General features: G+C 34.0%; 2 long non-coding RNA genes across 2 annotated transcripts in view, besides 3 other annotated features; both read left to right on the top strand.

The window, feature by feature from the left end:
• TSG1 (tumor suppressor TSG1) overlaps positions 1–847 on the top strand; it is a 72604-nt gene extending 71757 nt beyond the window's left edge. The window contains exon 10 of the long non-coding RNA NR_015362.2: positions 395–847. This is a non-coding gene — a long non-coding RNA (tumor suppressor TSG1). The remainder of the gene's footprint in view (positions 1–394) is intronic.
• Positions 10495–11021: an enhancer, noted in NCBI's record as "OCT4-NANOG hESC enhancer chr6:94495986-94496512 (GRCh37/hg19 assembly coordinates)". NCBI's record gives its function as "activates a minimal SCP1, AML or CMV promoter by ChIP-STARR-seq in naive and primed H9 embryonic stem cells {active_cell/tissue: H9 hESC(naive and primed)}" and the evidence as "EXISTENCE:reporter gene assay evidence [ECO:0000049][PMID:30033119]".
• Positions 11022–11546: an enhancer, noted in NCBI's record as "OCT4-NANOG hESC enhancer chr6:94496513-94497037 (GRCh37/hg19 assembly coordinates)". NCBI's record gives its function as "activates a minimal SCP1, AML or CMV promoter by ChIP-STARR-seq in naive H9 embryonic stem cells {active_cell/tissue: H9 hESC(naive)}" and the evidence as "EXISTENCE:reporter gene assay evidence [ECO:0000049][PMID:30033119]".
• Positions 11547–12072: an enhancer, noted in NCBI's record as "NANOG-H3K27ac hESC enhancer chr6:94497038-94497563 (GRCh37/hg19 assembly coordinates)". NCBI's record gives its function as "activates a minimal SCP1, AML or CMV promoter by ChIP-STARR-seq in primed H9 embryonic stem cells {active_cell/tissue: H9 hESC(primed)}" and the evidence as "EXISTENCE:reporter gene assay evidence [ECO:0000049][PMID:30033119]".
• LOC124901496 (uncharacterized) lies at positions 12332–14630 on the top strand. Its single transcript, XR_007059928.1, has 2 exons — positions 12332–12387; positions 14328–14630. It is a non-coding gene; the product is annotated as an uncharacterized LOC124901496 (long non-coding RNA).
• Positions 14631–25505: the final 10875 nt, after the last annotated feature.

Consider the following 25505-nt stretch of genomic DNA (forward strand, 5'->3'; position numbering starts at 1 on the left):
AAAAATTTTTTCTAAAAGTTTTTAACCGTTATATATTCCTATAGTGACAGCATCTTCCACACTTAAAAACTTATAATACGGTTAATTAATGTTCATACACTTACAGAGTACTTGGGAATGCTTTTTAAATATCTACCTCTGACATAGTTAGGGCAAGTAATTTTATTTAACAAGGGAGAAAATTTAAATTTCAGAGCATTAAGTCATTTATTCAAAGTCATTTATCTAGTAAGTGACAGACCCCAAATTTCAACTCAAGTAGGTCTTTATATGTCAAATCTGGTCCTTGGGAGTATTTTTGTTCTAACAAACATTGCTTCTTCAAGTGCATATTCTTTCACTAGACTGGGAATATATGAAAGCCAGTACTTTCGTGACTTCTTTGTACACTCAGGTGGTTCAATGTTTTTCTCGCAAGAAACCAAGTGAATATTAAAAATATTCCTAATTGACAAGGAAGTACAGGAGCTGACTTGCTAGGATCACAGAACCAACAACAAGAGTGCGTCTGCATGTCAAGACTCTGACCTACTGTGTGGGACTCTTTTCATTACTCCATCCTCATCCTCCACCAGCCATAGCCACCGAAGAACACTCACTTATTTAAGCAAACTCTGTTTTTAGAATTGAAGATGATAATTATTTATTGCTTTTTTCAGAGTTTTTATTTTTTAACATTTATTACAACAAATTAGAATATAAGATGATGTGTCACGCCACCTTCCCCCAGAACTGATTCTGCTTATTTGACGGTTTGGATAGAGGGCGGCTTTCCCTATTGCATGCTTTCTCATACTGCATCTTTAGACAAAGGTGACCATCCCATAGAGATAGCGATGCAGATCTTGCTAGAGCTTCTAAACAACTAAATAACCAACTGATGATCAAACATTCATCCATCCCTTTATAAGTTCATTTATTTAATAAATATTCACCTTATTGAATTAGTGGGAAGATAATGATGAATAAGCTATAGTATAGTGGATGCAGTAGAGAAGGAACTTTATAAATCCACAGAAATATATACTTGATCTTTGGGGTGAACTATTGGGTATCATAAAAGCACTTAGTGTGCACCAGTCTGTGTTCTAAATAGTTCACATTTAGGAACTCAATTAATATTCATTTATATCTGAGAGAGAACTATTATTTACCCCAACCTACAGATAATATAATGGACACCCAAATGAATTAAGTAACTTTCTCAAGGTGGATATAGAGTAACTAAATTAAGGCTTGAAATTCCGCTGTCTGACTAAATTCCTCCATGCAGCCAAAGTACCTTGTGTGTGCTATTTTGTCATTCTCAAGATTCTACAATATACATGGTCATTTGTGTGCATGTTTCATTTTTTTTTTTTTTGCTAGATTCTTTACCCTCAGAGAGATAAATCATATTTCATGTATTTGGGCCTTACCCATGGTATCTAGCATCATGTTTTGGAAATAGTTGCTTTACAAACAAATTAAAATCATTGTTCTTTATAAACTCGTAACTAAATAAAAAGTAGCAATAATATTAAACATAAGGAATGAGACAAGCACAATGAGCAAAGATAGCAAAATGTAGGCTCTTGTAGTAATGAAGGAAGATCTCAACACTCAAAGAATAATCCTGCTCTATTGTTAAATCAAATAGGATGTCTAATTAGCTAAGCAAGGATTTTTCTTTCTTTTTTCCTCCCCCAGAAACCCATTCAATTTTTAAAATATTCAAAATTCCTAAATGAAACAATTTTAATCATCTATCTGTAAGTTGGTAGCACTATAGGAAATTGACAGCCTGGCATCAGAGTTAAACACCTTTTTAATTCTTTTTGCTTCTAATTTGTATCATTAGTGCATCTTAGTCTGTCAAAGTAATCAAAGCCATCAGTGTGGGAGAAAAGGTGACTTGTGCGTACGAGTATCATGTATTTATTAATATGATTATTTTAGTCAATTAGTTGAAAAGAACTTATTTGTAATGACTACAGTCACTGACCATGTTTATATTAGCATACTTCCACTATGGTGAAGGTCCTGTCTACGAGTAAGAAAGCTATAGCTAGCATCAAGAAATGTTAAAACAGCTCTGTATTCATGCAGTATGAGGACACACATGTGTGTCCTCTGTGTAAGGAAAAGCAGGGTAGTAAAGTCAAATCAAAATATTTGGGATTATATTTCTTCTTTGGCTATTCTCCAATTAGAATAATATGAGACTTTGTGGGCACATTACCTAGAATGAAATATGAAGTTTCACCCTGAGCATACACACGTGGCACACCTTAACTGTTCACATGAAATGTTTGTCTCCTCTTCAATCTACTACTTTCCAAGGGCTACCATGTGGGGCTAGGGAGAAAGCATACTCTATAGCACAAAGTGAAGATACAAATATCGATCTGCCTTACCTTCCTCTGCTTCTCGTGGTATGTGTACAATTTTATGCCACCACTGTAAATCTTCTGATACTCCTCACTATGTTTGGTCATTCGAATATTTTTTTGGAGATGGAATTTCGCCCTATTGCCCGTGCTGGAGTGCAGTGGTACGATCTCGGCTCACCACAACCTCCGCCTCCCGAGTTCCAGCAATTCTACCTCAGCCTCCCAAGTAGCTGGGATTACAGGCATGTGCCACCAAGCCTGGCCAAGTTTTTGTATTTTTAGTAGAGACGGGGTTTCTCCATGTTGATCAGGCTGGTCTCTAACTCCCGACCTCAGGTGATCCACCTGCCTCGGACTCCAAGAGTGTTGGGATTACAGGTGTGAGCCACCTCGCCCAGCGGTCATTAGCAGTTTAAAGAAACTAACATTTACTTGTTGAGTTTCTAGCATGGACTCTTTTTCCCTTTTTCTCTTGACCACTCTCTGGCTCCCAGAAGAAGAAAAATATACATATGCAAGTATATATGTATGAAATTATATATATATATATATAAAATGTGAAAATATATAGTCATATTCATGGAAGAGAAACATACACTTACACATTTAGAATTCCCTTAGAGGAAGAGCACAATTTAATAGAATGCAGTGTTTTATTTTTAGTTTTGAGAAAGTATTCATTAAGGGTAAAACAGGAAAGACGATCAAAGCACATGAAAGAGAAACTGTATTCTTTGTACTTTCCTTGTTGTCTTGACTGAAATTTAGTCCTCTTCACCTCTTGCCCTACTGGATTCGCTAACCTCCAATTTTCTTCTCCCTATTGTGCTAAACTCAAAAATGTGCCTAGAAACCAAAGAATAAGGTTGCTTGTGACTTGTGTATGTTTGGAATAGGGAATTACCATATTTAAGTTTCTCAGAGATTTTAGAATTATCTCCCCCACCCCAAAGACAGGGAATTTTTTTTTCTTGTTTCTCCCCCTACCCACTCCACCCTTCGCTGTCAATTTAGAAGCTGCCTGAAACAGGCACTGTAAAAACACTGGGTGGCAGTCCCTCTCTCTTCCAGCCACCGATACCAGAATGGACTGTTATCAGGAGCACTCCAGCTATGAAGCACACATTCTTTCCCTGCATTTGCTGGCTGCGCTGAAACTGTAAATTCCACAGGAGATCAGGCAGTTCAGTGGAGACAGGGCAGTGCAGAACAGCAGAAATAACAAGTTTTCCTAAAAGCACGTGTCACCAAACAAAACCATGAGATTTCGTAGGTCAGCTAAAGCACGAAAACTGGAAGTGAAAAATGCCCTGTTCAGTGATCCAGTCAATGGGATTAAATCATAAAACTCCCAACAGTTGTTTTCAGCAGTCTCACCCGTGATTTTATGAGTACAAAGGCCTATGTCGGGATCCCATATTTTTTCCCTTCTTCCACGTCTAGTTCTGCGCACTGTTATCATTTACGTAAGTTTCCTGTAATCAAAGCATCTGTAAGCTTTAGCATGTAGAGTGTCTTGCCATATTCTGTTTCTTTTCTTTTTCTCTCCAAGCATCCCAGCCCTCCCGGCATCCCCCCATTCAAGGCATGAGTCTGTGTTATGGAGCTCCAAAATACACACAGTACAGCTTGCCCACTGAGAATCAGCAGTGTCCCAGAACATGGCTCATGAGTCAGCTCCTTTCAAAACTCCTGAGCACTGCTGGATAGAAAATAAAGATTTTTTTATTCAATTAATTTTAATGATTAAAAATATGACAATGCAGACATTTAGAAAGTATTTAAACGGGCAGTTTGTGGCATTATAAATATTGTAAGCAAAACAAACAAACAAACAAACAGACAAACCCAACAATTCCCATATGGTACCTTTGATAGAAGATATTTAATTAAAATAGCTAAGGCCGTTTACAGATCCTGAGTTTTCATAACAAAGAAGAGGGAGTTTGAGCTGAGGGTCATAAATGATTGTATCTAAATGATAGTTATCTATATCTATGTTTTGTTTATTTTTAACCGTTGATGCTATGACACCAATAGTCTAAGACTACAAATAAATACATAAATAAATAAATTCAAAAAGCAAAGGCCAGTTTTCTTAGCCAAGGGAATTCACCACAGACAGATTCATGTTTCTTAAAATTATTTTTTCTTTATAATCAGTAGCCCATAAAAATTAACAGAAACAAGATTTCCTCAGTGTTGTTACTGCAAAATTAAATAAAACAACTAAATTAATGATTTAAGATCTAGGCTCCAAAATAATGGATAACAATCAGAAAGAACCTACGAGAATTAATTTTCAAAATAGCAAGATTTAAGCAAGGATTCTTTTTACTAACAAATGTCTTCTTTGTGCTAGATTTTGTTGAGGTTTCTTGGAGTTTCAGCAGTGAACAAAATAAATGAAGCTTTGCTCATGGGGACACACCCCACACATAAAACACCTGTCTCTAATTCCAGATTAGATGATGAGATGACCGTTTTGTATACATCATTTATATCCTCAATTAGCTAGTAAGTTATCCTATTCATTGAAGGTGCTCAAAATTTTGCTTTAAAAATGAATTAATTACTGATGTCTTTGACAAAGAGAGTCAGTATACCTGAGTGTAAAGTGATCAGCCAAAAATATTTTTAAATGCATACTTAATTATAAATAAAATACATTAAAATCTATATTGGGACATTAATTATATAACATTTAGATAGGACATCTCTACAGGCATTAATTACTTTGCTTATTTTTCTGCCTACAATTTAAATAAGATTTGTAATAATATACACAGAAACACTAATATTGTACTTTTACCAGAAATTTAATATTGAATTTTTTATATATAAAATGGAAAATCTTGCCCATGTGACTCATACATCGTGCCTGTGACTTTAATGCCTTTAACAAGACAGCCTAATGGCCCATTATTGTTTTTAACAGGCCACCTTAAAATAACCTTTCAGCAAATTTTCTGACATATTTTATCTTAGCCTCCATTTATTTCATTTATATTGACCCTAGTCTCTTTAAAATTGCTGGTTTTTGAGAAACATTGGAGTAAGCACAGCATTTCTGCAAAGACTTTCGGATTCTTCCAGTAATGTCACATTGATGCTGCTTAGTTTTATGGCTAGCAATCTACTCTTCTTTTGGAATCTGTCAGGATCAGAAAAATGCACATTAATCATTTACTATAGGAGCATGTACTGCTCCAAATGTCCCCCATTTCAAGATGGCAATTGGGCACTTGTCAGGAATTACCCACAGCCACACAAGTGGGGAATTGGCTGTGTAGTGTTAACCGTGGACAGCACCTTCTCCTGTAGATAATGTTCTTAGAGACCTAAGGATGGACCTCCATAAGTTGTCATAGGAATACAGGGCTGCCATATAAATGTTCTTTGCCATTGACATACTATAGGGACTGTTTAACTTTCAGATTGAGTTTCAGCCATGGGACAGCTCCAAAGGAGCAATATAGCTTTCAAAGAGTCTTTGGGGGTGGGAGCAACACCATCTCTAAAAGACTTTTTCAGATTAGAGTTAGGTCTAGTAGTTGAGAAATCCAGGAAGATTATGATTCCAAACTAGACAAGTGGTGGTGTGGGAATTTGGGGAGACATTTAGTTGGTTTCTCCCTCAAAGATGTAAAAACACCTTTTTGACTGTTTGACATTATGTGAAGATATGTGGTCCCAGGAAGTCATTAAACAGAAGCCTTCTGGAATAATTTTTACTAACTGAGTATCTTTACATTGCTATTACCTTACAGGCTGCAATATCTTCTCTAAGATTCTGGCCTACATTCAGAACCATTTAATTCATCTCCCTTCTTTTGCAGGCAACTCTTCCTCGTTGCTCTAGGAAATGCAAAACCCAGTGTCAGCTATTTAGAAGGCAAATATTATTTTCCTGTAATATATGAAAACTGACTCATTCTTTCTTAGCAAACAAGACAGCCAAACTACCCAGGAAAAATATGCATGATGTTTCTGACTTAATCCTAGATCATTTTGTTGCTGAAAATATATGATTTTTTATTCTTTAAGTTTTGACCCCTGTTATCCCTTAGATGACTAGGTTATTTATAGCGTAACTGCTATCCACACATCTAGATATGCTTCAGATTGAAGGAGAGAGAAAAAAGAGACTTAACACATCTATTTATTTCATTCTATCTAGTCACATTTCATCCATATCAATTTCATTCTCTTCAGCAGCAAGAGTTTAAAACTGGAATGTAAAGGCTTAATATGTAGTAAAAGATAAATTACAATATGAGGTAGTAATAAGTATCAAATTAAAATATTAAATAAAATCATGAAGGGTTTTGTCATTTGAATTCAGTATTTTAAAATATGCACATGGGTAAAATCTGAAAGGTAAGATAAAAAATAGTCATTAAAAATAGTGGAAAGTGGAGTCTTTAAAAATTCTTTTAAATAATTATTTCATCACATTTTCAATTAAAAGGATCAAAAGAGTAGTTTAAATGTTATATCCAATGTGTATGTGCAATGCCAACATACAGCAGGTGCTCATAAATTTTGTTGAATAAGTGAATATGTGAATGGCTGAATAAATAAATAGATAAATGGAGGAAATGGAGATAGCTCAGGAAAAGTTGCTGTCGGCTGGATTGCATGCAGAAACAAATCTAGAACTTGAATGCAATAAACCTGAAGAAAAGATACAAAAGGGAGGGTGTTATATGAATATTTAGCACGTGGAGATAAGGATAAAGATGACATCTTCAGCAACTTAGGTTAGGAAAATAGGAAAGCGTTTGTTAAGTATGTAAATGATGTTCTGAAAGTGATATTCAGGGAAAATTAACTTGGCATAGTAAGAATCTAAACTGGTAGAAACTTTCTATAAAATAATTTGATAAAACATATTAAAACCTCTTTACCTGGCAATCCAAATTTAGAAATGTTTCCTAAGGAGGTAATTGAACATATATACAAGTATATGATTAAAGATATTCAATTGAATATTTTTAAGGAAAAAAAAAGAAAATGGAAGAAACCAAATAGATATAAAGAAACTAAAGGTTGAATAAAATATGATTCATCCATAAAATGTGTGATTAATTTATTGAGGTGGAAATAGTGCTCATAGTTTTTCATATAGTTGGTGGAGAAAGAACTACTTATAGGGAGGATTTATTAAATTATTTATATTAAAATATATAGATTTCTGTTTTTTCACCTTTTTTCACAATAGTGCAATATGACATTTTTATGGCATTCAATGATTTCCTTACTTTGATGTGAAACTACATTTCTAAGCACCTATCTATCATTAGTCTATCTATCTATCTATCTATCTATCTATCTATCTATCTATCTATCTATCATCTGCCTATCTACAGGCTCCAGTTAGGAAGCATCCATTTCTCCCTAAATACAAATTTCTCTTTATTATTCCAGCAGTGCTGCTCAGTTTCCTCCAGTATGATTAGCTATCTTAAGTATTCACCCTGTATTTATTTGAAAAGGTTCTGTTGAAGGCATCCTTGACCTTTTAGGCCAGACATATATTTCTTCTCAAACTTCTAAGGCATTTGACCATAAGAGAATCCTGATCATCAGTAAGACATGAATTTGAATCTCAATCCCATAACTGAATTATACTTTCTGAATCTTAAGCCCGTCATCTTTAAAATGGGACTATTAGATACTACTTCACAGAGTTGTATAGATAATGTGTGTAGAGCACTCAGAGTAGTACCTACATTTGATTAAGGGCTCTATACTTGTGAGTTCTTCCTCCAGGCACTCTGTTGATATGGTGGTTCTCTAATTGCACTGAATAGATTTTAATGATGAATAATCTAAATCATTTTATTCCTTGTAGTGTGAGGCAGTGCCATGTATCCAGCAGTCATTCAGTAAAGATTTGTTGACACTGTGAATATAAATTCATCATAAGGGAATTTTGAAACAACTTTTAAATATCCTGCTGGGAGACATACATAAAATGGGACATTTCCCAGAATACACATGGCTTACTCTTTCTAGATGTCTTCATCCCTCTAAAATAACAACAACAAAAATGGCTGTTAATGCTATGGGCAACACAGAACAGGACTCTTGGTAAAGTGCACTTTAGTGATTTTTCAGTTGGTCACCTACTCATCTAGTTAATGGTGTGAACCACGGAAAAAGCAGGAACGAAGCTCACAAAATGTGACAGAAGTCTAAAAAAGTTATGTGCTTTACCACGATTGTGAAAGTAGCTTATGTTTTACAAAATGTGATTTCTTAGTTAGCTAAAAGATGCCTTCTTGGCCAAAGGGAGGTGTGGTTGGGGAGATGACTGTGGGGGATTTTTTTCATATGTTTTTCATATGTTTTTCATATGCTCAGGAGTATCCTCTATGGCTAGCAAGTAGGCAAGCAGTAGAACAAGCAAACAAACAAAACTCCCTGAGAGAAGGGAAGTAGAATGTTTCTAGTAAATTTCCTATTAATTATACACCTAGGGACATTTCAGACCAAAGCAGACAACTCTGACCTTGTACATTTATTTTTAAAAATTGACAGTTAATAGTATAACAGTGCAATACTGCAGTCACCAAGGTAAACAAAACAAAACAAAACAAAACTGTTACTCTTTTTAGCCACTTATTTGGCTAAAATGGACCGAATAACAGCTTCAGAGGATAAAACAGGCACTGTGGTATAATGAGTGTGTTAAACAACAACAACAACAAAACAAACAAACAAACAAACAAAAACTGTGTTCAAATCATTTGAGAAACTAACTACAAACTAAATTAGAAAACAACTGCAAGGCCTGGCTTCTGCATTTAAACGATGACAGCTATTGGGCCCTCAGATAAGGAACTAAAAATGAACATTGCAGTATCATTAGTAATTGTAGCATCACATTTCACAAAACAAGGTAAAAAAAAAAATAGGAACTTTTAAATCTCATTGCCCTGAAGTCTCCACTGCAAAGGCATTTGTTTTGCATCATATCCTCATCAAAAAATAAGAAAGAAAAATCAATAGAACTGTCACTGAGTCATCGACACTTCTTAACTGTGTTCCCTTCCAACAGATGCAGCATCTGCTGTTGTTTCTGATTCTGCACTCTTGCTTGCCTCAGGAGTGATGGTATTTACTAGTAACTGTAGGAATCCGAGCAGGATCTGACTCAGTGTCACAGAGGCCAATATATCATGCACCCCGTCGGTAAGGAGAAACTGCCAAATAAATGTTCTTAATTCACAATGGACAGATTATGAAACTGAAACACAAGCACTAGCACAGAAGCTGTGTAGGAGGAAAAGGGAGAAAGGAATGAGAAACAGAAAGAGAAAGAAAATGGCAGATGTAAATTTTATTCGTTTTTACGGTTCATGGTGCTGGGTTTTGAAAAACCAGTAACAATCTGAATACGGTAGCCATATTTTTACCAGTGTTTAAGGTCCATGTTTCACTTGGAGGTGAAGGGAGTCTACTTTGAATTCTGGAATAAGAAGGCTGTCACTATTTCAATCTTTTATTCTTTTCCTCTTTCTTCCCTCCTTCTTTCTTTTTTCCTTCCTTTCTTCCATCCCCTCTCTCCTTCCCTTTCTCCCTTCCTTCCTTTTCCAAATTATATAATCCCTAAAACAATTTTTGGCTAAATCTTTTAATGTTTTCCCCATTATGTACCGCTGTGTGTGTGTGTGTGTATGTGTGCGTGTGCAGGTTCACCATTAAGACAACATCATTTTCTAAACTGTGTCTGTCCATTTTAAATCCTGCCCCTGAGGTTTTTTTTCTTTTTTTTTTAACAGAAATTTACTTTTTTACTGTTTACCTATTAAATCATTTAAGATTTTAAAACTGACAGGACATACCTACTTACGATAGTTTTTCACATCTTAATACTTGAGAATTTTTTGTTCTTATTTGTAATTAGGAAAAAAAATTAAAATGTGACTATATCACATTTCCTTGGAATAATTAAAATAACTTTTGGAAAGTGAAAGTGGAAATAGAACAAACATAACCTTCTTGACAATGAGGGAAAAGAATAGTTCACTCTTATTTTACTAAAACAAATTCTTCTTACAGCATAAGTCTTGTAAAATAACAGCAAAATCTGAATACACAGTGCAAAGACTGGCAAGAATTGTTTTGTGTTTCTTGAATCTGGATTGCATAAATATAAATTATGAACTGATTTGATACATAAAATAGAAAGTTATCTTGCTTTAAAGAAATCATTTAAACCATTGCTATTTTCAAAGAATCTTCCAGTCTACATTATATTATGACTATGAAAATAACTTTACATAAAAATAACTTTACAAAAAAATTGGCCTTTAACAAGAAAAAAATATTCAGCAATTCTAAGTGCAAAGCTATTAACTGACTGATATCTGATCCCTGACACAGGATGTCATTCTTAACCCAGTGCCTGGCTGCTCAGCATCCTGTGGGAACCGCAGGCTTCTGAAGATTCCTCTTTACAAATAACAATCAGTGCAGATAGAGGAGACACAAGGAGAGCCAGTTAAATCTTTCACATCATTACCAGCCTCATTGTTTTGCAAATCAGGAGCATAAAGTAGAACACGTGCATGAATCCTCTTACAGGTTTCTGAATGCTAGGGATTTCAAATATGTGAATCCTGGTGATTAACAGTAAATGAATAAGCCGCATGACAAATCATTACCTTTACCAGCTAAGTGGCTAGTTTAAATTAAAGATTACAGGTTATAGTTTGAATTCACCAAGATTTGTCCATCTAAAATGATAAGCCTTTCCTCTATTCATATGTCAGTCCATCATTATTGTGAAGTCTGCCATAGATGATCACTAACTCACTTGAATAGCTCAAAACAGCATTTTTAAAAGTATCCTATTTATAGTAGAGATATGTAGAATAATCCAAAACACTGTCTTCTTCAACATGCTAACCCTCTCTTGGTAAGAAATTCTTCTCAGGATACTTTAATTTCTGCCACAAAGCCGAGTGCCATAACAATAGGATTAAAAGTGATTTAGCCGTATTTTAACGGGCTGCATTTTTTCCCTTTGTAATTTGCTTTTACAAATGTAATTATTCATTTTCTTCAGTAGGTGACTAAGTTGACCATATTTCACTTATAGGTATTTAATATTCTTTTTCTTGTAATGATTTTTCAGTACTATTTTCCACAAATGTCAAAATCCTGAGTTGTTTATTTGAATCCTGAGTTATTGCTCTTATAATGAGAAACTCTAATTATAGAGTGCAGTGAACTAGGCAACAGAGAGCTTGCATGCCAAATATTATTACTAATATCAAGGCATATGAACAACACTAGTCACTACTTTAAAATACATTGCCTACTTCTCAATGTTTGGATAGGGACTGTTGCTTTACTTTTGAGGCATTTGTAGCAAGCTCTAAAGTAAAAAATTCCTCATCCTTATTTTTACTCTGTTCAAACTGATCATTTATCTCAGTTTATGCAAAAAACTCACCTGTAGCTCATTACCCCGTATTTGCTGAACCCTACACTTTCTCACTCAACTAAAACAGGAGCATAGAAAGCAGAGCTGGCACTGACCCTCACCCTCAATTATTCGTGTGGGCAGTTCAATGCCACTCTATTCCCAAACATATTTGTTTGGTATGCATATCCAAGCAATATTAGCTAAAGGGAGTACACAAAGAAGGACACCATTTTTTCCCTCCCACTCCCCATCTGTCGTGGAAAACACACAGGTTTTCCTCCACAGGTTGAAAAGAACCTTATGTCCTTGGAGGACAGACTTACAGTGCATTGCAACAACAGTGTGAACCTTCTTCCTACTCCTCAACCCACAGTCCTGTTTTGAAGGCTGCATTCTGAGAATAGGCTTCACCATGATGCTGTTGGAACATAAGCTACCATGTTAAACAAGCATGGCATGAGGCTGACTAATCCTGGTGAACTGTGTGGTTAAATAGCTGCTCCTTAGAAGCAGTAGTGATTACAAGCCTTGTCCAGCACTACGAATCAGAATGTCTTCCCTCTTCTTTTGAAGGTAGGTGGTGCAAAAGCTACTCCTTACCGGGGCATAGACTAATTTTATTAAATTAATTCATTTAACATATTCAATGTTTTTACTAAATATTTACTGATTTTTAATAATAAAAATTAAATGCAATTTCTATAATAATTGTTAACTTATTGCTTCATCCATGGACTCAATGATCAGAAAAGACACATGATGGATAAAAATGACCTAAATGATGTAGAAATAACTAAGGAAGAACATTGAGGAAAGAGCTGATTCAGTAAGAAAGATGAATTAAAATTTAGGCATACACTTGCTCACATTCTCTCTCTTTCTTTCTTCCTTCCTTCATTTTATTTTTTTATTTTTATTTTTTATTTTGAAACAGTCTCGCTCTGTGGTCAGGTTGGAGTGCGGTGGCGCAATATCGTCTCACTGCAACCTCTGCCTCCGGGATTCAAGCATTTCTCCTGCCTCAGCCTCCTGAGGCAGCTGGGAATACAGGTGTGTGCCACCAGGCCCAGCTAATTTTTGTATTTTTAGTAGAGATGGAGTTTCACCATGTTGGCCAGGATGGTCTCCATCTCCTGACCTCGTGATCCGCCTGCCTTGGTCTCCTAACACATTCTTTTTCTCTCCCTCTCTCTCTCTCTTTCCTCCTCCTGAATAGCACAAGTGATTTAAACATAGTGTGACATGTAAGACAAATCAGATGGTGTCTTCTGATTACAAAGCCAAACCCAAAGTCTTGGATTCTATTCTTGGCTTATTCACAAGAAATTTGTAGAATCTTTCCTTAATTATTTTAAGCCATTTACCCATATTAAAATGGACTCAATGTTCATTTAACAGTTACTCTTTTACTTATAAAAATTATGACCAATTCCATGGTAAGTTCAAGAAAACAGGATGGACATAGTCCTTATGGATCTTACTATCTTTGTATGAATGCATACTTAGCATTAATCAAGAATATACCAAATGGGCCAGGCGCGGTGGCTCACTCCTGTAATCCCAGCACTTTGGGAGGCCGAGGTGAGTGGATCACCTGAGGTCGGGAGTTCGAGATCAGCTTGACTAACATGGAGAAACCTCATCTCTACTAAAAATACAAAATTAGCCAGGCGTGGTGGTGCGTGCCTCTAATCCCAGCTACTCGGGGGGCTGAGGAAGGAGAATCGCTTGAACCCGGGAGGCAGATGTTGCGGTGAGCCGAGATCATGCCATTACACTCCAGCCTGGGCAACAGGAGTGAAACTCCATCTCAAAAAAAAAAAAAAAAAAAAAAAATATATATATATATATATATATATATATATATATATCAAATGATAATACTTGAAATAAAATATAGGCTCATAACTTCCAATAACTAATAATGTGTACTTCATGTAGTTATTAATAATTCTGCTTCAAAACTTAATTAATAAATTTTTAGGTAGTCAATTAAGTGACAAGATTCTACATATAACATTATCTACAATTAAATTTTTTATTATGAAACTTGAAATTAATCTCTAGTTATAAGGACACCATTAAGAAGCATGAGCACATGACTCCCTACTGATTTCACTGGAGAGAAAGACTTGAACATGAGCTCATTGTTGATTCAGTTGCACATAATATCAGCTTATTTATGTACTCAGGGGAATAAAACACATTTCACTTTTCCTTGCCCTACACTAGTAGTGAAATTTTAAGTTCCGAAGAGAGAATTTGAATAATTATTTTATTCTTTCAAAGTGACTTCTATCTGAAAAACTTACACTTTATAAAAACGATGTGTTTCTAGTAAAGCTTTTAAAATCTTATCTTTTTGTAACTAACTATTCATAAATAGCCCTTTATAACTAATATATCATAGCTCTTTGGTACCTCCATGCTTTCTTTGTGGATAAAAACAGTGCTAACTGGTTGGCACTCCCCTTTTGCCAGTCTGAAATCTAAACGGAATTCTCTCCTTATAGCTGTCTGTTAAGAAGATGTGAGTCTTCACCTCAAAGGGCTCTTGAAACGCTGCTAATTACAAGGGGATAATGAGAACTCACCAATGGAGACCACCTCAATTAAACAAAAATCAGTTTATATTGATACAGCAATTAATTATATATGACAGAATAATTGAAGAAGTTTTCCTTGTGTATTCATAGAGAACCTAAACTTATATGAAATTAAGTATTAGTTGTGGAGCATTTAATGAAGATTAAAATGAATTTCAGCTGTAGACTTTATACAAAATTTAAAAAATAAATTAAGTGGTAAGAAAATAATGCAAGTTTTCTGTGATGAGTATTCTTTTATTCAGAGTTGGAGTGGGGACAATTTATATCTCAATTTCATTAGTCTTTTTTAAAAAACAATGTTAATGAAGTATATGGACCAATGCTCACTAACACTTTGGACACATAGAAACCCCAGTGGTTTGTTTGAGTTTGCACAATATAAATTTATGCATCCCAAAGAACTTGTAATACTAATGGCATTTATCAGGTATTGTTTGTAAAGGATATGAATAATAATAATCCATCTGCTATAGTCCCTTTTCAGCAGAGGAATCATACAAATTAATGTTGGCCTGGATATAATCCATTTAGGATGATTCATGAGAGTCATAAAAATGACCTCTCTCTCTTTTTTTAATTCCCAAGCAAGTGTTTTTCCATTAATTATTTTTCTACTTCTTTTTGTAAGGTCCACTTTGAGGTTCTTTAATTCTGTCAAATGTTTTATGACTATTTTGAAAAAATATCTAACATCCACAAGACCACCACCATCAACAACGAGAAACTTCATAAAAATCTAAGCTTATACTCTGGTATTTAAAGGAGAAAAATATTAAGAGTATCTGATGATGAATCAAGTATAACAATGTAAGAAAAATGAAAACTAACATGTACTGAATGCTTACCAACTAGTTTGAAAACATTATTTTCTTTGATTTTAACAGTGTCTCTTTTGGGGCAGATATGTGAATCAACTTCATTTCACAACTGAAGAAACAGAATCCTAGAGAGAATAGATAACCATCCTGTGGCCCCACATTTAAGATGTGACGAAGCCAGTACTCAAATCCTGGTCTGTTTTCAATCATACCTACCCTCTTAATCACTAGGCAAAATCTTTTTTGTGCATAGGCTAGTGGAATGCAAACCTAGATGATGAAGTGGTATAGAATAACATTAATTTATTAATCATGAAAGTCATCTATGGACAATATTTTTAATATCATTACAATTATACACCAGGTACAATTTATATTAGTTCTCATGCATAAGCTGAGTGTTTTCCCTCCACATTTTAAGGGGAGAATATTAAACAACTATTTAATTATATACTTGTATTTTCTGGTACATGGCAAATTAGAACACTAAATAACAGCTTTGAAGTATAACAAAAATTTACACATTGACATTCATGAGTGAGAACTATATCAGATCTTAGAAAAATTAGAATATATGTAGTTTTGGACAATATTCCCATTAATAGACACTGTAGACCTCTCTTCATTTTCTCTTCTGTTATACACATTTTCCATGCTGTTCCGTTGTTCCTTCATTTTCAAGTTGATCTATCACCTCTTTGGCTCTATTACTGACTTCTGTATTTAACTTATTCACTACTAGTGTTATCACAGTGTAAGTACTAGAAGTAAAGAGAGAAAGACTAGAGTACATGTAATTTTTGGTGCCAAAATATAGAACCTATTGTTTCATAATGCTTCAGTGAATTTCTTTTAGGCAATAAAAGAACCTTCTTACTTTTCCTTATGAGATAAAATTATAGCATTGCAAATAAAGCAAACACTATGGGTTTAGACCTATTGGGGTTTAAATGTTAGTTCAGTCATTTACTAGGTATGAACATTTGAACAAGCAATTCTTATGTTCTCAGTTTATTTCTAAATTTGTACTGGCAATACTTAATACTGATTTATGGATTAATTTATTGTTTTATTTATTTATTTGAGACTGAGTTTTGCTCTTGTCACCTAGGCTGGAGTGCAATGGGCATTGTCGGCTCACTGCAACCTCTGCCTTCCAGGTTCAAGTGATTCTCCTGCCTCAGCCTCCCAAGTAGCTGGAATTACAGGCCTGCACCACCATGACTGGCTAATTCTTGTATTTTTAGAAGAAACAGTGTTTCATCATGTTGGCCAGGGTGGTCTTGAACTCCTGACCTCAAGTGATCCACCCACCTTGGCCTCCAAAAGTGCTGGAATTACAGGTGTGAGCTACTGTGCCCAGCTACCTGTATTTATTTTTTAATGAGTTGGACATGATTTATATATTTAATTCCACTTCAAAAATGTATTGGTGGCATACCATGAATCAAATACCATTCTTGGGCTATACTATAAACAGCAGAGATAGTTTTTTTTTTTTTACAGCTAATGATATTTACATTTTCAAGAGGAGAGACAGAAAATGAACAATTGATATTAATAAACAAATAATTTTGTTAGAAAGTGATTTGGAAAGGAAAAAGTAGAGCAAGGTAAGGGACTTAGGAGTTCTGGGTATGTGACTTGTGAAATTTTAATATGCAATGTTGTGTAGTATTAGTGGGTGACAGAATTGAATAAGTTAAGAAGATGGCTATGTGGATCTCCTTGAGAAAATGGTACAGCCAGTGCAAAGATCCGACAGAGGGAATACGTTGTATTAGAAGAAGAAGAAGCAGTGTGGCATGGAGAGAGTGAGCGATAACTCACAGAGTTACAGAGCAGTTCAGGTTACACAGGACCTTGAGTGCGAAGAAACATTGAATAAATGCAGCTGTTACTGTGTTTAGATAAGAAATGCTAGGCTTACCAACAGAAAAAAAATATTATTCTGTAATTTAAAAAAAAAAACCCACATAGCATTGCAAATGTTTATTTAATTCATACTGTGAGTCAAGCATTGCCCTGGTCACTATAAAAACATTCTCTCATTTATTCCCCATGAAAGCCCTATGTGAAAAATGCCATTTCTATGTCCACTATACAGATGAGAAAACTGAAGCTCTAGTAGGCTAAGTAACTTGTCCAGGGTCACACTCTTATTATGTGACAGAGGTATTATGAATAACCTTAATATGATTTCTTTTTGTTAAATGCATACAAAGCCTTGCTATGCAAAACATACTTGTGACATCCTTGTGGTTTCCAAGTTAGTTTCTTACTTCCATTTACTTCTCAGATAGGCTCCTTTCAGCTCTCTATCATTATAGTCTTTCTATAAAAAGCATTCAGTATACTGGCCACAGAAAATAAATTACTTTTTCACCATCTCTCTTTTATTCCTCTCATTCACTAGGGATTACATTTAATTGTCTTCTAGCTATAATTAGCTTATTGAGTGGAGACTTTATTCTAAATGTGATCAAACAGCAACTTTGTAATTTTTCTTTCTAAATCGTATATTTTAGGGATCCTTCTTTTTTGTTAATTGTTAGTGTTTTATTACTCTCAAGGTATTCCTACTTTCATTCGCATTGATTTCTGCAGTCATCATATTTTGGACATTTTTTTCTTTGAATGACTTTTCTGTGTTAAAAGGAATTATCATCAGTCTTTGGTCTAAATTCTTACTTAATAATATGTCGATATAAAGTCAGATTTTAATTTTGGCATTGTTAATAAGTGAAATAAAGATACAATTACTTTGTGTGTAAATGATATAACTATTACATGTTCTCTCTTTTCAAAAATTATCTATTCCCTACTGTCAGTGTGATATTTTCAAAATTCACCATAAAGGAAACATAAGTTCTCTTATATCTTCTAAATCTAGAATGATATATGTTGATTAAAATATGTTATTCTAAGGTTAATGTATTTTAAACCAGAAGACCTCCTTGTTTTACATTTCCATGTGATTTTTCAGCATCATGGTTTAATATTTATATTCCCCCTAGTTTTATTCCTTTGTTTTTTAGTTTATATGCTCATAACAAAAAAAATTGGTAACTTACTATGAGAGGATTCCAAATTCAAGAAAGTGTAAAAAAGCAAAATATAAAATAATATATTTAACAGAGGTATACAAGTTTGCTTTTTGAGAGCATTTTGATAGACAATTGTATTCTCCACTCTTCATCTGCTTCTCTTAACATGAGATGAACAAACTGAAGTTTTTACTTTTTAAAGCAAGGCCAGTATGATTTATCAGTATACTAAAGGCTATATCCAGTGCAGCTGATTCAGGATCTACAGTTTTCAGTACAGAAGTTTGTCATACTTCCTCCTTGAAGTCAGTGTACAAGACTTAAAAGAATAAATAAGATTAGCCATAAACTCCTCATCTCCACTCAATGATTCATGAGCCCATTGGTTATGTCCAGTATTGTGGTATCAACCTTAAACTATTACAGTCATTGACTAATAAAACTTTCAAGATTTAAGAATATTAGAAGTTTACATGATCCAATACTATTATTTGACAGATTAATGACTTACAATCTTTATAAAAGAAGAAACATGACAAATGTGTTTGTGACCTGAAACTTAAAACAGTTTAAAAATTGATGTTGCATGAATGTATCAACCAGAGAAATTCATTGAATATTTAGCATGTGCAAGGTGCTGAAGTATTCAGTTAGACTATAGCAAATACTCACAATTTAAAGAAAAAGAGTATTTTCAGCAAAAATATTTAAGATCATTTATGATTCTTAGTAACAGAGTGCACAAAAATTTATCCGCCCTTGTGAGTTTGCTACATATAACATTGGGATATATTAAAGCTAGTGGCAGTGGGAGGTGAAAAAGCCATGGCATTATTGAGATGAATCAGTGCAAATTGAAGATCTAAAAAAGTAACTTAAATGTTCAATCAAATACTTTACCCAAAGGACAAAAATATCTATCATGTTAAAAATGAGAAAGAAAAAAAGTGACACGTTGGATCAGGAACAAAAAAAAATTAAGAAAAAATTTAACTATTTTTTTGTCACTCTAGCCCTTTACTTCTAATGGAGCACGGAGGATAAAACTTGTAGTATGAAAAAAATTAAGACAACTGTAGTATGAAAAAATAAAAATAAATAAGCAGCTATAGGGTAACACCAGGTGATATTTTTTGCTAATTTTCTTTTCAGGTAAATATTGGCCTGTTCCAACATACACTCTTATATTCTATCACAATGTTATCCTATGATTTTTCTAGCATCTTGCATTCAATAAAGAAATGCTTATGAGGGGTGTTTGTTATCTCATGTGTCATTTAAGTCTTAATCTATTTTAGAAAGAAATCATTATGAATGTCTAGTAAATAGCTCTTTTAATTTTGAAAAATGAGCCACCTACATTAATATAGAATATAACTAGCATATTTGTTCATTCTCACACTGCAATAAACAAATACCTGAAACTGGGTAATTTACAAAGAAAAGAGGTTTAATTGGTCCATGGTTCCACAGGCTTTACAGGAAGCATAGCTGTGGAAGCCTCAGGAAATTTTCAGTCATGGCAGAAGGTGAAAGGGAAGCAGGCATGCCTTACATGGCTGGAGGAAGAGGAAGAGGAATAGAAGCAAAGGGAGAGGTGCAACACACTTTTAAACAACCAGATCTTGTGAGAACTCACTCACTATCATGAGAACAGCAAGGGGAGTATCTGCCCCCATCATCCAATCACCTCCCACCAAGCCCCTCCTCTGATATGGGGGTTGCAATTCATCATGAGATTTGGGAAGAGACACAAATCCAAGCCACATCAACTAGTACACCTGAATTATTTTTTATAGCTAAAATGAAGAGTCTTATTTTTGTGTGTGTGTAATATTAAGATACACTTCACCAAATATCTATGATTTTAAAAAGATCAGTCTTGTTTTACTTTGTTTTGTTTGCTTTGTTTCATACTTTTAAGTGTCAGAAATTTCGCCTATAAATCTCATTTAATTTTACTTCTAAAATTTATAATTTTTCATATATCACCTCTATTTTACAGATTAGGAAACTGCTGCTCATAGATTAACTGATTTACCCAATATTACTATATTTATATGTATATTTAAAGAAATTTGAGCTCTAGAGACTATACTATTTCCACTATTTGAACTGCCTAATTATAGAGGAACAAAGCCAGCTAGGAATTTCTTATACTATATCTCAAAAAGAAGAAACCCTTATAATAAATTTACACGATAGATACAAATTCTATAAAATTGACTACTTTATTTTAAATAAATATTTATTTGTGAAAGCTACAATGCAAGAAGTTTGATAGAATGAAGGGGAAATAAACCCCACCCCCACCAACAAAAAATAAGATAGTTCTATTTCTTCTCACCCCATATTCAAGACTCAACTTGAAATGGGCTAAACATAAGACCTGAAACTGTAAAACTACTAGAAGGAAACATAGGGGGAAGCCTCACAATATTGGTCTGGACAATGATTACCTAGATATGATCCCAAAAGCACTGGCAACAAAAGTGAATATAGACAAATTGGATTGCATTCAAACTAAAAAGCTTCTGCACAATAAAGGAAACAACAGAGTGAAGAGACAACACATAGATTAGAGAGAAATATTTTCAAATTATGCATGAGATATCACCTCCCATCAAGTAGAATGGTTATCATCAAAAAGACAAGAAACAAGTGTTGGAGAGGATATAGAGAAAAATAAACTCTTATACACTGTTGGCAGGAATGCAAATTATTACAGCCAGTTTGAAAAACAGTACTGAGCTTCCTCCAAAAACTTGTTCCACTTCTGGGTACATATCCAAAGGAATGGGAATCAGTATGTTGAAGAGATATCTGCACTTTCATGTTCATGGAAACATTATTCACAACAGCCAAGATGTGAAAAATACCTAAGTACCTATCAATGGATAAATAGACAAAGAAAATGTAAAAATACACAGCTGAATACTATTTAGCCTTTAAAATAAGGAAATTTGTCGTTTATTATAACATGAATGAATCTAGGGAACATTATGCTAAGTGAAATAAGCCAGGCTCAGAAAAACAAGTATTATATGATAACACTTGCATGTTGGATCTAAAAAAGTCTGGCTCATAGAAGTAGAGAGTAGAATGGTGGGTGCCAGGGACTAGAGGTGCGAAGGATGAACAGGGACAAAGGAGATATTGGTCAAGGGTATGAAATTTTAGTTAGACAGAACGAGTAAGTTCTAATGATTTACTGCACAGCATGGTGACTATAGCTAATAATAATGTGTTGTATATTTCAAAAAGGCTTAGAGAGTAGATTTTAAGTGTTCTTACCACAAAAATGTTTATTAGTATGATTTAATCATCCCTACAATGTATACATGTATCACAACATCACATTGTACCCCATAAATCCATACAATTATTTGTCAATTAAAAATAAAATAAATATTTAGCAAAAAATTTAAAATGTGTTGTCTGTTTATAGTGATTTCAATTTCATTTTAAAGTAAGATCTTCAAGAGACATACTTAACCTTTTGCATTTCCTAAAACAATGTCTTGGAAAGAAATGGACTTATATTCTTAATTCTCTGACCCAAAGAGATTACAGGCTCCATTGAGAGTCTCTTGCCTTACAGAAGCAGAAATGCAATCAATGTAGGTTATTGGTCATTTTCCCAAAAGATTGAAAGGGTAGTTTGGAGTTGGGAAGCACAATTAAACTGCTAAAATAAAACTTTCTCCTCTGTTATATACAGTGTGTGTCTGGCATAAAAGCAAAATTGATAAAATAGATACTTTGCATGTGTTAGGAATCAGTACATTTTATCTTTTATTTGACGCTTAAATAACTTCTCTTTTGCATAATGTTGTGCTGTTTTTTTCTTGTTCCTTTTCCAATTTGAAAACGTATTTATTTGTACATACTATATTTCATAATATATGAAAACTAAATCACTTTTATATTTTAAATTCCAAATTGTTTTTATTTTTTAATCATTGAGTGACATGCAACAATTAATACATGTGGAACATTTGGTATATTCTAGATACTCAATTGTGAAACAGAATGACAATCCTTGACCCTATAAAAATTGTGTTTAGTGTTGGATACAGAAAAATAAATGTTTGAGGACAACAGAAGATATGTGTTATGAATGGAAATTTATGGGTTCTATGCTGAGAACTAGAAAGATCAACTAATCAAGACTTGGCACATTCAGGATTTTTTCTTTTTCAAAGGAAGCAGTATCAAAGGTGAGGTCTGACATGGGGTACAAAAACAGCCAAACAATGAGGAAAGGAGAAAGAACACACTGGGCAGAGAGAATAGAGGAGACAAATAACTTTATGACCAATAAGAGATGGGGAGTAATAGAAGGAAGTGGGTCAAACACTGGGAGGAAAGAATTGTTATTCAATGTAAAAAAAGAGGAGAAAATAGTACATATTTGTGATAGATATATTTAGTTTTGAACATCCTGAGTTTTTGGTGAATATATGATAAATAAGAATGGATTTATACCCACACATTTATATTTTATTGCTTCTAAGAATCACATTTTTGCACATTTTAATATTTTCAAAACCCAAATGCATAGCACAAGCAAAATGTATAAGAACTATAATTGCCAGTGGGTTTTCATTTTTGCTTGTATGTAAATTATTGGTGAATTTTACAATAGATAATATCTCAGATTAAATGAAATATGATAAACCATGGATTTCAGCCTCATCTTAAAATATTTAACTTGAACCTGAATCATTTATAGCAAACTTCTAACCATTAGATAGCATTTGCTTCATTTCTAGTGAACTTCAAACTCTCTTTACTCTGAAACCAATTCCAAATCCAGATGGCACAGTATATTCTAAGTCATGATTAGAATCCCCAAAAAGTTATGCTCTGATCTTTCTGTATAAAGGAGGGTGATTTAGAGCCGTATTATCATTTTATAATTCTCTATATCTAATTCCCCACCATGTATATTGGAAAAAAAAGAAATGTTATTACCTGACAAATTATCCAAGTTCTTTGCCATGCATAGATCATATCTTACAGGCAGAGCCAGGACAAAAATCAGTGTCTTCCTAACTGCCTCCTGCTCCAACTGGCAGTGTTTGAAGCCTGTATGCCCATCACTTAAGTCAAGACTGCTGGGATTCAGAGCAAATGTCCTCCAGATTTCCTTTCCATCATATCTTTTCAATTTATTTTTTAAAAGAACTATACAATAACGCTGAATAATTTTTAAAATGACCTTCTCATCTAGAAACTCTGTGAGACCTCATGCTAATAAGGAGCTTAGGGGTGATAAACTCACATAAAATATATTTCAGACTTAGTCTCTCTTGAGATTCCAGGGAATGTGCTTAGTTGAAGATTAAAGTCTTGGCTGGAATGTTATGCTTGAATTTTTGTGAGTCTTCCTGTGGTAATCAGAATGAGTAATGTTTTTCAATGAACAGAAAGTTATTTAATAACTGAGACAAGTTACTTGCAATTTCAACTTATTGTTTAATAAGCATTACTCGTGTGTGTGTGTGTGTGCCCGTGTGTGTGTTACTGTAGGAATACAAATAATGAAAAGACACAAGATACATTTTCTTTCATCAAGTCGTGGACACATTTATAAGCATCTCATTCCAGTAGAACCAGAGGAAGGCAGAAAAACAAGCAATATGCTTTGGGAGTACAACGGCATAAAATATTTAATCTGATGATGAGAATGCTTTAAAGCAGAAGTGCAGTTGTGATATTCTTGATAGGTGGGTGATGGAGGGAGAACATTGCTGGATAAGGAATTAGGTGCAAACACCCGGAAACATATGAAGTGTCCAGGTAATTACACAGTTCTCAGCCACCAGGGAACAAGATTGGGGAGGCTGACATGCAAATGTGGCTACAAAGGTAGTTTATGTAATTGGGGCCAGGCCATTGGATGGGCTAAGTTGTTCATTTATTATTTTGAGGGGAATGGAAAAACTAACGAAAACTAATGGAAAAACTCTCCACTTCTGATGAGTGGAGAGTCATCACTTGACCCATGCAAAGCTTGACCTAAGGTCCAGAGACAACGAAGGAACTAAGTTCTGGAGAGAAAGCTACTTAGCGCTAGCCTTGCTTAGTCTACTATCCTATTGTTTGAGAAAAAACAAATTAGACATCATTCAACTACTACTAACTATGTGTGTGTGCATATATATATATATATATATATATATATATATATATATATATTCTAAATGAACAAAAAATGTTTCAAGTATCTAATACTTAGCTATACCAACAGACAAAATATATTCAAGTTAGAGTCACAAAGATATCTTTATAGCAGAAGAATGTTCCAAAATGCTACCTACAGATCTCATTATATATGTGGGGCATGAAATACTGAACTGGTAATGGGAAGACTGAATTTACACCTGGTTTCTTTCCTCCAGCTTGTGAGAGTCAGGATATGAAGGTTATCTATCTATCTATCTATCTATCTATCTATCTATCTATCTATCTATCTATCTATCCATCCATCCATCCATCCATCCATCCATCTAAAATTCTATATATGTATTTGTATACATATATACACACAAATATATGTATACACACACACATATATACATATATATATCTACATATAAGTGCACTTATTTGAGGGATAAGAGCGTACCTGAGGACAAATATATATATATAAGTGGTACACAATACAAAGTGTACTTATATACAGTTGTCCTCAGGTACATATAATGGTACTTATCTGAAGGATAGTATATATAAGTGTACTTATCTTAGCGATAACAGCTTACCTGAGTGTAATAACTATTCAATCCTATATCTGAGAGAAAAAAAATCATTCATAGTGTGAGTTTAAGGTGAGGGATGGAAGAGATGAGAAGGAGAAATGTGGTTTTACTTGTTTTACTACTTGTTCTAACAATCCTTGTATTACCCTCGATTCTTAATTTAAAACATCTATTTGTCCCATTAAATCAAATTATTAAAAAAAAAACATAATCCAGAAGAGGATTAACTTTTGGTAATATAACACCATTAAGTATGATATAAAACTGATTTTGTCTTGTTATAAAATAAATATAAGTTCATGTTAGCTCTGACTACCATAACAAAATACCACAGTCTAGATGGCTTAAACAATGCAAATTTATTTTCTCACAGTTCTGGAGGCTGAAAGTCTGAAATCAAGGTACCAGCATAGTGAGGGTTTGGTGAGTGCTCTCTTCCTGGCTTGAAGG

Source organism: Homo sapiens, chromosome 6 (assembly GCF_000001405.40).
Source record: "Homo sapiens chromosome 6, GRCh38.p14 Primary Assembly".
NCBI classification, from domain to species: Eukaryota; Metazoa; Chordata; class Mammalia; order Primates; family Hominidae; genus Homo; species Homo sapiens.